Genomic DNA, 13,664 nt, shown 5'->3' on the forward strand with positions numbered 1-13,664 from the left:
GTGTGAATTTGATCCTGTCATTATGATGTTAGCTGGTTATTTTGCCCATTAGTTGATGCAGTTTCTTCCTAGCCTTGATGGTCTTTACAATTTGTTTTTGCAGTGGCAGGCCTGGTGGTGACAAAATCTCTCAACATTTGCTTGTCTGTAAAGTATTTTATTTCTCCTTCACTTATGAAGCTTAGTTTGGCTGGATATGAAATTCTGGGTTGAAAATTCTTTTCTTTAAGAATGTTGAATATTGGCCCCTACTCTCTTCTGGCTTATAGAGTTTCTGCTGAGAGACCAGCTGTTAGTCTGATGGGCTTCCCTTTGCGGGTAACCTGACCTTTGTCTCTGGCTGCCCTTAACATTTTTTCCTTAATTTCAACTTTGGTGAATCTGACAATTATGTGTGTTGGAGTTGCTCTTCTCGAGGAGTATCTTTGTGGCATTCTCTGTATTTTCTGAATTTGAATGTTGGCCTGCCTTGCTAGATTGGGGAAGTTCTCCTGGATAATATCCTGCAGAGTGTTTTCCAACTTGGTTCCATTCTCCCCATCACTTTCAGGTACACCAATCAGACATAGATTTGGTCTTTTCACATAGTCCCATATTTCTTGGAGGATTTGTTCATTTCTTTTTATTCTTTTTTCTCTAAACTTCTCTTCTTGCTTCATTTCATTCATTTCATCTTCCATCGCTGATACTCTTTCTTCCAGTTGATCGCATCGGCTACTGAGGCTTGTGCATTCGTCATGTAGTTCTCGTGCCATGGTTTTCAGCTCCATCAGCTCCTTTAAGGACTTCTCTGCATTGGTTATTCTAGTTACCCATTTGTCTAATTTTTTTTCAAGGTTTTTAACTTCTTTGCCATTGTTTTGAAGTTCCTCCTTTAGCTTGGAGTAGTTTGGTCTTCTGAAGCCTTCTTCTCTCAACTTGTCAAAGTCATTCTCCGTTCAGCTTTGTTCCGTTGCTGGTGAGGTGCTGCGTTCCTTTGGAGGAGGAGAGATGCTCTGATTTTTAGGGTTTCCAGTTTTTCTGCTCTGTTTTTTCCCCATCTTTGTGGTTTTATCTACCTTTGGTCTTTGATGATGGTGACGTACAGATGGGGTTTTGGGTGGATGTCCTTTCTGTTTGTTAGTTTTCCTTCTAACAGTCAGGACCCTCAGCTGCAGGTCTGTTGGAGTTTGCTGGAGGTGCACTCCAGACCCTGTTTGCCTGGGAATCAGCAGCGGTGGCTGCAGAACAGTGGATATTGGTGAACCACAAATGCTGCTGCCTGATCGTTCCTCTGGACATTTTGTCTCAGAGGAGTACCCGGTCGTGTGAGCTATCAGTCCACCCCTACTGGGGGGGTGCCTCCCAGTTAGGCTACTCGCGGGTCAGGGACCCACTTGAAGAGGCAGTCTGCCCGTTCTCAGATCTCCAGCTGCATGCTGGGAGAACCACTACTCTCTTCAAAGCTGTCAGACAGGGACATTTAAGTCTGCAGAGGTTACACTGCCTTTTGTTTGTCTGTGCCCTGCCCCCAGAGGTGGAGCCTACAGAGGCAGGCAGGCCTCCTTGCGCTGTGGTGGGCTCCACCCAGTTGGAGCTTCCCGGCTGCTTTGTTTACCTACTCAATCCTGGGCAATGGCGGGCGCCCCTCCCCTAGCCTCGCTGCCGCCTTGCAGTTTGATCTCAGACTGCTGTGCTAGCAATGAGGGAGGCTCCCTTGGCATAGGACCCTCCGAGCCAGGTGTGGGATATAATCTGGTTTGCCGTTTGTTAAGCCAGTTGGAAAAGCGCAGTATTATGGTGGGAGTGACCCGATTTTCCAGGTGCCGTCTGTCACCCCTTTCTTTGACTAGGAAAGGGAATTCCCTGACCCCTTGGGCTTCCCAGGGGAGGCTATGCCTTGCCCTGCTTCGGCTCACGCACAGTGCGCTGCACCCACTGTCCTGCACCCACAGCCCAGCACTCCCCAGTGAGATGAACCTGGTACCTCAGTAGGAAATGCAGAAATCACCCGTCTTCTGCATGGCTCATGCTGGGAGCTGTAGACTGGAGCTGTTCCTATTCGGCCATCTTGGTTCCACCCTCCATAGGCCAATATATTTTAAGGTAACAGAGAAGAAAATGTTTGTTTATATGGTTTCAGATTTCACGTGGTAACTAACCTTTAAGAAACTGCCACTTGTTGAGCTTTGGTATAGCATCAAAGAACAATGTCTACAAATATATGAAAAGGTTATTGAAATGATATTTTATTGTCCTATTACGTGTTTGTTTGAGGCTGGGTTTTCCTCATGTGCTTCAACAAAAACAACATATTTCATCAAATTGCATGTAGACATATATATGAGAATTCATAAGTTTCCTATGAAGCCAGACACTAAGATGTGCAAAATTGTAAAACAAGGTCTTCTTATCACCAATTTTTTGTTGTAAAAATATTGTTTTTAGAACTCATTAATTTACTTAACAGTTTATTATAATCGTAAATGAATTAAGTAATTTTTGTATTCTCAGTATTCATTTCCAATATAATAGTGATAGATATAACCCACATGAACAGAAGTTCATTGGTGTCCTCACTGATTTTTAAGAATAAAAAGGGATTCTAAGGCAAGAAGTTTGAGAACTATTGGGCTATATAATCTAGTTTAGTATTTCTCAAAATGTATTCTTCAACAAGCCTCATCATAAACATCTGGATTTCTTTTTATAAACTGAACTTTCCTAACCCAAGATCTACAGGATCAGAATCAATAGGTGGAGGCCAGTCCATTAAACCTGAATTGCAAATAAACCCTGCTGGTTCAATCTTATACATAATAAAATATTACAACTTATACTACAAATAAGAGACCTTCCATACTTTCTAAGATATATAATTTAATGAGAATCACATCTCATTGTGGGTTCTCTTCCTTTAATAGTTGTAGCCGTAACTCCATTTCCTTCTCATAGGTAAGTGGTAATTTTTATCCTATCATATCTGGCATCTGAAGCCCTGCATTTAAGAGCTAGGATCGAATCTTTTCTCCTTCACTCAAGTACACATGTATACCTTAAGCACATCCCACACATGTGTCCCTGTTTCTATGGATACCCTCAGAAGGAGACATCTTCTGTGAGAGGAAAAGGGAAGACCCAGAAGGATCTGGTAAGCAGTTATTTTATGATGAAGATTTCATTATGGATATGCTGACCAAATTATTGAAAATGCCCAGGGGATGAATTTAATCACTCAGAGTGAGAATATCTGGGTTTCTCTTTTTAAATTTTTTTCTTGTGGTAAAATACACAGAATGAAATTTACCACTTTAACCATTTACAAGTACACAGTCTTGTGATATTAAGTACATTCACATTGTTATGCAATTATCACCACCATCCATATCCAGAACATTTTCATCCTCCCCAGTTAAAACTCTGTACCCATTAAACAGTAATGGGTAGTAATGGGGTAGTAATGCTCCTACCCCAAGTCCTGGAACCACCTCTAAATTTCTTTTTTGGTCAACCATTCAGTCTGCAGGAGGGATGTTACAGGTGGTAGCTGGGATAATTGTGCTTCAGCATACCTGCATCAAAGTGTGTAAGCATAAAGACCATCCTTCCTTGACAGGTGCATTTTTATATCACCTTTAGAAGTGAAAATTTTAATAAAATCTCCTCATTACATACACTGGGTAGATAAAATGGAAGCTCCATATTTTCCATTGTTCAGATGCATTATGAATTATATATTTTAATGTATCAGTCCATTATATATTTTGTTGCCTTTGACCAGGGATATTATGGTTTACTCTAGAAAGTTCTAGAATCATAATTATAAACTTTGTTTAGTAGGGATCTCAAAGACTAATTACCCATCTGATACTTAGATCTAGCAATGGAGAAACTCACTACCCACAGAAGCAGTACATTTAATCTTTGGACTGCCCAGATTGTGAAAATTGTGTATTACATAAAAATCTGGCTCATATATCTTCAAAACATCAGCCCTACTTTTATCACTAAGGAAACAGTGAAGACAACTATTGTGTTTTCCCTTGATCTTTTTTCTCTAGGCTAAACATCACTAGTTCTGTTAGATGTTCTCAAACTAAAGGATAGGTGTAATTCCTTTAGCACTCTGCTCATCTCACTGGAATAAACTCATTTCCTACTCTCTTTTCCAGGAGATTCTATATCAAGAAGTGTAGGTGATTTTTAAGTTCAGACAAGTGAGACTGTTAGAGAATGTCTGACCAGATAGATTACATCCAAACTAGCACCTTCTTTATTCAGAATCCCGTAATTATGTGAATGCAGCCTAAGGCCATGTTTGCTCCTTTATCAGATGTGATACATAGCAGATTCTTATTGATGTTGTTGTTATAAAAATCTATAAAAATAATTTTCACACCTTTCCCAAGCTGTTCTTTCACAACTATGTTTATTTTTTTCTAACCTAAGATCAGGAATTTGCATTCTTACTAAATTTAATTTTGTTGGCTTTAGCCATCTTCCCAAGATGTTAATATCTTTTTGGAACCTCATTCTATTGTACAATATATATTTTATTCCTTACAGCATATACCGTCTGAAAATGTGGTAACCATTCATTTGATTTTCTCATTGAAGTAACTGGCAAAATCTGTGAGGAGGGCAGGGCCACTGAAAGCGGAATCCTTTGACACCTTTTAGAAACTTTCCAAATTAGTAGGGACTTAGAAAATCTACATACTTAACGATTCAATCAATTAGACTTCATTTTTTAAAATTTTATCTGTAAGCTATCATATATCCTCTTTCAAAAGACTTGATGAGGCCATTTGCTATCTCTGGGTTTTATTTACCCATAGCAATTTAATAGAAATTTAAAATGTATCACCTCTCAGGAGTAGGGTAACTATTTGTAAGATAAGGTCAATTAGATGTTGTGAGTTCCTTGGAGGAAAAGGGTTATATATACCTATGATTATTAAGAATAACACAATAATTCACTCTGAAGAGTTCTAATCCTTCTGTAACTATTCTCATTTACTGGGTAAATGACTACATAGAACCAGGAGACTAAGCTAATACAATTCTGAAACTCATATTGTGACCAGTAGATTTTGAACTTGAGTGTTTTTTTTTTTTTCCTTTAAGATCAAGGGCTTTCCTTTTCTAGTAAAAAAAAAAAAGAAAGAAAGAAAATGAAGAGCATCACTAGCTGTTCATGTTCTCATTAGTCCCTCACTTATCATTTATGCACGCATGGATCAGTGATTGCTAGTATTTCTTCATGGAGGGGAGAAACAATCCCAGACATTTTTATATGAGGGCCTGATTTTTAGGCTCAAGTGAATCATCTAGTTATAAACACCAGGAAAACGGGTCATATGGCAGAGAACCTGACAGACCCTTTAATGACTGGGACAGACCCTTTGTTTATTGGAGTGTGTTCTAGATTTGAAGGTCAAACTTCTCATGTATTTTTCTTGGTCCACTTAACTGTGTTATCTAAACTTGATTAAAAATGACCTTACGATGGCAGTTATTTTCTTGAAACTATTAGGAAATACTGGCAAGCAACTGAGAATAGTAGGAAGGCAAGCACTTAATGGGTTGGACTATCATAAAGACTTTGAGTTGAAGAGTGTAGGGAGGTGACTTTGCTGTACAGAATATGAATCAATTACAAACACACTCTCTCCTTCCAGGTCTGGGAGCCCAGAAGCCCCTTCACACCAGACTAAGGATGCCAGGAAAAATCAATAAGCTATTGAATTGGGTTCTCTGGGGGAAAACAGTGTATTTTGTAATTTCAAAATAGCTCTTTTATTAGAGAGCTGAAGAGGGTATAGCAGACATTACATTTCTATAAAATATAAGCCTGGCAACATTCAGATCTGTTTTAAAATTAATAGAGCTTCAATCTTTTTTATTTTGGCAGTAAATTGAGTTGTGATGCCTGCTAACTCTGTCTTCATTCTGATTTAGTAAGCATTTATTAAGAACAGTTCTGTATTTCTCTAACTGCATCACCAAAGCTTCTTTCTGTCCCCTGGACACTAAATTAAGAGGGATTGCAGCAAAGCTAAATAAATAGATCCTTAATTTTCCCAAGCAACACACATAGAAACACACACACAGACACACAGACACACACACACACACACACACACACACACACACACACACACACACATCTATCTATCCATCTATCTAGCTATAAAGTTAGGTGTTGAGCATTGGAAGTGGAGGGAAGATGGTTTATGTGTAGGTTTAGTTATCAAAATCCACAGCATATAGGCTGACAGCTTTTGAAATACATAAACTGTTTCTCCCTCTCCTGTTTCCATAGCAACAGAGTGCACAAAGCCTTAGTTTTTGCACATAGAGAAAAAATTGGGAATGGAGTCTGGAATTGTCTGGAACAAAAGAAGTACACAGAAAATGGAAAACGAAGCATCTGTAGTCTCGAGAGCCTCACATTTCTTCACCGCTCCTTGATGTTATTATTCAAAATATGTATTTGAAGGCATGTTGGGGTAGCTTTGAAGAGTTTGGTCAGGATCTGAAAGGTTAGGGCATCCGTGCCCACCTTTGACAAGCGAGAAGAGCCAGCACAAATAACTCACTGTCGTCTTTGTCTTGAGCAGTTGCATTATGACTTCTTCTTTTCAGGTATTCTTCATGATCTATTGTCCCTTTACCACACTGCAGGGTGATTATTAAGATCTTTGCACTTTCTTTTTTTTCCACCCATTTGATTACTTTAAAGAGCCAATGATAACGTCCTAAATTCAATAAATGGAGGATGTGACATATTCTTTAAGCAAGAGGGTCACAAAGTGAGATATAATGATCAGCCAAGCAGCCAAAATCCAAAGCAGGGCTTCCCTGGTTGGGCAAGGGTTTAAAGGGCTGTATCAACCTTGTATGGATATATCTCATTTATTCCCATATAATCTACATGCATCTGTCTGGAGTTCTCTGTGTCCTTCATATTGATTCATAACAATTTCTCTGAGTTTGACTTAAATTTCTCTTCCCACAGGGCTAGATATATATGTGGAAAAATTTACCCAATGCAGTAAATATTTTACCAAACTATCCTTTCTGCAGATGCAAGAAAGTAAACTACAATTCAGTGTGGAATATCAGCTTTCTTTAAAACAAACCAGAACATTTTTTTTTTTTTAATGGAGAACGTAAAACTAAATGACTCTCTTATAGGTAGCCCAGTAGACATTAAAAGGAAGTGAGCATTGCCAGTTCCTAACATCTCCTCACCAGTCTGGGAGCACTGAAAGTGGTGTAGTGGTGTACTTCATAAGCCCCTTACTAATTAGTTGATGGCTATTTTGGTAGACAACAAATGTGCATCATATTCTCCCTCACCACCCCCTTAGTAGCCAAGAATAAACAATTGTTGCCTGTCCAGTTGGGGATATTTCCTGAAGCAGAGTCATCATGACCAGGTATTTGAATCGGTTTTGCTTGAGTACTCCTGGAGCAAGAAGTTAATTGCTGATCTTCTCTAGGGTAAGGATGCAGATAATACTGCATTTGGCAAGTTTAACGAATCTTTCTGTGGCTCTTGGCAGTTTGTACAGAATTCTTAAAGGGATTTTTCTAAATGCAGGACATGCCCTAAATATATAATGGCATGATAAACTGGATTAGCTCAGATGAAGCCATTACTGTCTATTTGTAAATAATAAAGCCTTTAAAGAAGCATAGGAACGAAACCATACTTAACCAATAGACTACAATGGCTCCTAAGGGGCTTTTTGGTTTGATTGGGGAAATAATAAAACATGTTTTCCAAAGTTGCCAAAACATATTGACCCACTGGTCCATAAGGAAAATTACTAGGTTAAAAACAAACTTTTATTTAAAAATTAAAAAAAATAAACCAAAATACAAATTCTACTTAACCAGCAGCCCTTAGAAAAGGAGCTTTAGAAATTTTCCACTTTTTAGTACTGGAGACATACTACTGTTTGGATAACATGGGTTTTTGCTAGAGATGAGAGTAACCTATAGTAGTCTGTCTTCAAATAGTGAACGTCCTCCTCTGGTACTTCTGTCTGTTTCTCTTGACATAAGTTAATATGAACTGAGAGAGAACTTGTTTTCTTAGCCTCTTCCTTTTCTATCCTTGAAATCTTGTTTTATCTCCACTACTAAAAGCAAGACCAAAGGACTCCTCCATGTGAGTCGAGCTGATCCCACAGACTAAGGACACACCTGGCCCACATTCTTTGAGACACTTAGAAGAGGCGAAACTCAGGGGTCAGTTGTCCTGGTATTGTTGGTGTCTCACAAATCAATAGTGGTCCTATGGCAGTATCTATTTACCCTATGACAGGCTGTCAGAGACATGCCCCTGTGAGGAAGGAATACATCTATTAGGTTGGTGCAAAAGTAATCACGGTTTTTGCCATTACTTTTGCACCAACCTAACAGAATTCTTTCATGTGGCCCAGATCCCACCCTGTCATGACTGACCCTGGTGACAGTCCTCTCGTTTCTGACTGTATGAATATCGTCTCTCTTCTCTTTAATCTTCAGTATTTAAAACCTCTTTTTCAGGTCCCTAAATCATGCCTTCTAAAATCATTTCTGGCTTTTCTATGCATTCTTTAGCAATTTTAAAATTGTTCACTTCCAAGGGCCTGTGTCATTCTCTCCTTGTCATCACGTGCTCCTCTCATTCTTCTCTTTTCCCCCATTCTTTTTAACCTCTCTCACAGGCTCAGTGAAGTGGCTGAAAATTACTTGTGCTGAAAATCCAGAAGGTATTACTGCACTGTGGATTCATTTGCAGGCAGTTCAGCTGGAAAATCTGAAAATTGTGTTACTGTTTTTCTCTGATTCTTACCACTGGATATAGCATTCCCATAGGCTTTCTTAGCATTTTTTCCCCTTTCCCTATTCCTATTTCAGGAGCTTCTATGAAAGCGTATCTCAAACCTCCTGGAAAAGTTAGCTGTTCCTAAAAGTCCCTCATAGTTCCTTCTTGAAAGTTACACTAAAATTTACCAATGTGGTCAATTTGCCTCTGTATCTGCTTCTGGCTGAATACCTTTAGGTAGGGCTATCTGTAATATGACCCATACAACATTCCCTCAACCTCCTAGAAATACAACCCCCTTTCCAATAAAAATCTTCATAGAAACCCAAATGTTGTAGCCTACACTGCGGAGACTGGGGAAGGCACTAGGAACACTATCTCCTTGGTCTCCTCATAGCCTCACCAGCAGTGCTCCTTAAACACCCACCTTGAGGCCTAGGTCTTCTAGAACAATGTTTGTTTGAAAAGCATTGCTGTAAACTGTAAGTGATCAGCATTAGTCCAGTATTAATTAAAGTTAGGATTACATAAATCAAATCCTATTATCAGTTACTTCCTAAATCACACCTGCTGCCATACTGCTCTTAGCAGTTCTGATCTTGGCCCTCCCACCATGCCTTGATGAGTGATGTAAGACGGCTTCTACTGACCCACTTCCAGGTGATTATGTGGGTCCACAAAGAAGTCCCTCTCACAGCCATCATGAAACAGCAGCCACTGGTTGCCACATTTTCAGTTATCACATTTGTAGAACATTCAACAAATGATATATTAAAGACTTTAATGCTAAATATAGTTTTCAAATTGCCACTAGGAATTTATTATGTGGGGAAAAAGCTATCTTATCCAATTATAAAAATAGCCATAATTTCATCTTCTCACTTGATATTATCCACGATGGCACTCTTTCTAAACCCAGGGGACAGTCAGAGAAAGCGCAGGTAGTGAAAGAAAAAAATGTACAATAAAATCAAGATATCTATGTGGATACATTTATTTTCTGGCTTCAGAGTCTCATTTCTTTCCCTTGTTATTTGTATTGCTTAATTATCATACAGTGAAATTGACTTTTTGACGTATAGTGTTATGAACTTTAACACCCGTATACAGTCATGCAATCACCACCAGAATCAGGACGCAGAGCAATTCCATCATTCCAAATACTTCCTCCGTAATACATCTTTATTTTACCTTCATTTCTGAAACATAATTGTGGGTTTACAGTTGTTTTCTGTCAGTGTTTTAAGAATATTTGCCACTTTCTTCTCATCTCCATGATTTCTGGTGAGAAGTTCATTGTCAGTTGAACATTGTTCCCCTACAAGTAATTGATCGTTTTTCTCTGGCTACATTCAAAATTAGTATTTTTTTTTCTGTCTTTAGTTTTCAAGAGTTTCATTATTATATTTCCATGAATTTCTTTGAGTTTACCCTGATTGGTATTTGATGAACTTTCCCAAACTGTATACTTACATCTTTAAACATAGTTTTCAGCCTATATATATATATATATATATATATATATATATAGCTACACTCTTCTTTATATATATCTATCTTTATATATAATATATGAAGATATATTATGTATATCTTATCTTTATATATAATATATATATAAGATATATATCTATCTCATATATAATATATATAAAATATATATCTCATATATAATATATATAAAATATATATCTCATATATAATATATATAAAATATATATCTCATATATATTATATATATAAAATATATATCTCATATATATTATATATATAAAATATATATCTCATATATATTATATATATAAAATATATATCTCATATATATTATATATATATAATATATATCTCATATATATTATATATATAAAATATATATCTCATATATATTATATATATAAAATATATATCTCATATATATTATATATAAAATACATATCTCATATATATTATATATATAAAATACATATCTCTTATATATTATATATATAAAATACATATCTCATATATATTATACATATAAAATACATATCTCTTATATATTATACATATAAAATACATATCTCTTATATATTATATATATAAAATACATATCTCATATATTATATATATAAAATACATATCTCATATATTATATATATAAAATACATATCTCTTATATATTATATATATAAAATACATATCTCATATATTATATATATAAAATACATATCTCATATATTATATATATAAAATACATATCTCTTATATATTATATATATAAAATACATATCTCTTATATATTATATATATATAATACATATCTCTTATATATTATATATATAAAATACATATCTCTTATATATTATATATATAAAATACATATCTCTTATATATTATATATATAAAATACATATCTCTTATATATTATATATATAAAATACATATCTCATATTATATATATAAAATACATATCTCTCATATATTATATATAGAAAATACATATCTCTCATATATTATATATAGAAAATACATATCTCTCATATATTATATATAGAAAATACATATCTCTCATATATTATATATAGAAAATACATATCTCTCATATATTATATATAGAAAATACATATCTCTCATATATTATATATAGAAAATACATATCTCTCATATATTATATATAGAAAATACATATCTCTTATATATTATATATAGAAAATACATATCTCTTATATATTATATATAGAAAATACATATCTCTTATATATTATATATAGAAAATACGTATCTCTTATATATTATATATAGAAAATACGTATCTCTTATATATTATATATAGAAAATACGTATCTCTTATATATTATATATAGAAAATACGTATCTCTTATATATTATATATAGAAAATACGTATCTCTTATATATTATATATAGAAAATACGTATCTCTTATATATTATATATAGAAAATACGTATCTCTTATATATTATATATAGAAAATACGTATCTCTTATATATTATATATAGAAAATACGTATCTCTTATATATTATATATAGAAAATACGTATCTCTTATATATTATATATAGAAAATACGTATCTCTTATATATTATATATAGAAAATATATATCTCATATATTATATATAGAAAATATGTATCTCATATATTATATATAGAAAATATGTATCTCTTATATATTATATATAGAAAATATGTATCTCTTATATATTATATATAGAAAATATATATCTCTTATATATTATATAAATTTATATTATATCTTTTTATATATATATCTTCATTATATATATATATATATAGTGCTACACTCTTCTTCCCTTCCTTCAAGACTCTGATGACACAAATATTAGACCTCTTGTACTGTCGCACAGGTCTTAAGGATCAACTCTTTTAAAAAACTCATTTACTCTCTGTTATTCATACTGGATAATTTATATTAATCATTCAGGTTCACTCAAGTTGAGATTCAAATCTATCTCCAATCTACTGTTGAGCCCAACCAGCGAGATTTTTATTTTATTTCTTGTATTTTCCATTCCATAATTTGTATTTGATGAGATGGAAATAGAAATTATTTCCTCCTTATTTGCTAGATTATTTTTCCTTTCACTATTAGCGTGCTTTTTATTACTTATTAGAGTATTTATGTAATGACTACTTCAAAGTATTTGTCAGATAATTCCAACACCTGTGTTTTCTTGGCATTGTTGATTGTTTGCCTTTTCTCATGAGAGTCAAGGTTTTCCTTGTCTTCTCATATCTTTAGCAATATTGTACACTGAACATTTTAAATATGAGAATGTCAACCTCGACCTTATTTGAATATTAATATTTTTATTTCAGTAAGCGATTTACATGGTTAGGTTCATTCTGCAAGTCCCAACCAACTTCTGTGAGCTGTGGTTCCTATGGTAGTTATGTTTTCAAAGCCTTTGTGGTGCTATTCATACCCACCTCACATATGCACCACTGTGGGTAGTGATCTATTTCCATTTCAAAAGGCTTTGGTATGCTGATTCGACCCATACATGCCAGCTTGAGTGAACCCAGGTATTTCTAAGAAATTTTATTGGGTAGCTTTCCTGAGGTTCTTTCTGTGCTATGTCTCTGTTACTTTCCAGTTCCCTGGGACTTCCCTTTCTGGTTGTCCAGTCAGAAAGCAGCTGAGTTTTAGTTGCTTTATTTTGAATTTCTGTGACTAATCTGGGAGCCAAAAGGTAGAAGGGCAAAGAGAAAAAAAGGCACCAAGGCTTGATGCCACTCTTTCAGGATCACAACTCCACCAATTAAGAGTGGACAATTATCCTCCTTTTGCTTTCTGTGGCCTCCTCTTGCATTGTGGCGTGTTCCACTGCCGTGGTATGACTGCTTGTAGGATAAGGAACAAGGAAATAGTGGTAAGAAAAATACAACACGGAAGTCTACACTCTCTCTGAGAATGAGAAGCTCCCTTTTTGATTCCCTGAGCCAAAACTAGTAAGCTTCTCCTGGAGCTCTCTGTTCTTTCTAATGTCTACTTTAAGGTTTCAGACTGCATTACATTCAGGCTAGGAGATACTGGAGAAGAAAAATGATAAATTCACCACCACTTTGGTGGTACTTTTAATTCTTGTCTTCTTCCCCAATCTGCTTACTACTATTTTCTTTTCAGGATTCTCAAAGAGCTGCTGCATGCCTTCTGTTCACATATTATAGTTGCATTCAGTAGGAGAGACCAGACATCTTTTGCTGAAGCAGAACTCCATCATTTCCTAAACGTGGGAAATCTCCAAACAGGGCTATCACGTATAATTGTACGAAGGCACTTTGCCCTCCTTCATGGGGATTTTATCACATCAACTATGCTGTGAATGGCATCTTTCTGGAA

General features: G+C 35.1%; 2 annotated features.

The window, feature by feature from the left end:
* Positions 1,161 to 1,662: an enhancer, noted in NCBI's record as "H3K4me1 hESC enhancer chr14:26326303-26326804 (GRCh37/hg19 assembly coordinates)". NCBI's record gives its function as "activates a minimal SCP1, AML or CMV promoter by ChIP-STARR-seq in naive H9 embryonic stem cells {active_cell/tissue: H9 hESC(naive)}" and the evidence as "EXISTENCE:reporter gene assay evidence [ECO:0000049][PMID:30033119]".
* Positions 12,607 to 12,901: a silencer, noted in NCBI's record as "tiled region #8007; K562 Repressive non-DNase unmatched - State 24:Quies". NCBI's record gives its function as "represses a minimal TATA promoter and a strong SV40 promoter by Sharpr-MPRA in K562 cells {active_cell/tissue: K562}" and the evidence as "EXISTENCE:reporter gene assay evidence [ECO:0000049][PMID:27701403]".

Source organism: Homo sapiens, chromosome 14 (assembly GCF_000001405.40).
Source record: "Homo sapiens chromosome 14, GRCh38.p14 Primary Assembly".
Lineage (NCBI taxonomy): Eukaryota > Metazoa > Chordata > Mammalia > Primates > Hominidae > Homo > Homo sapiens.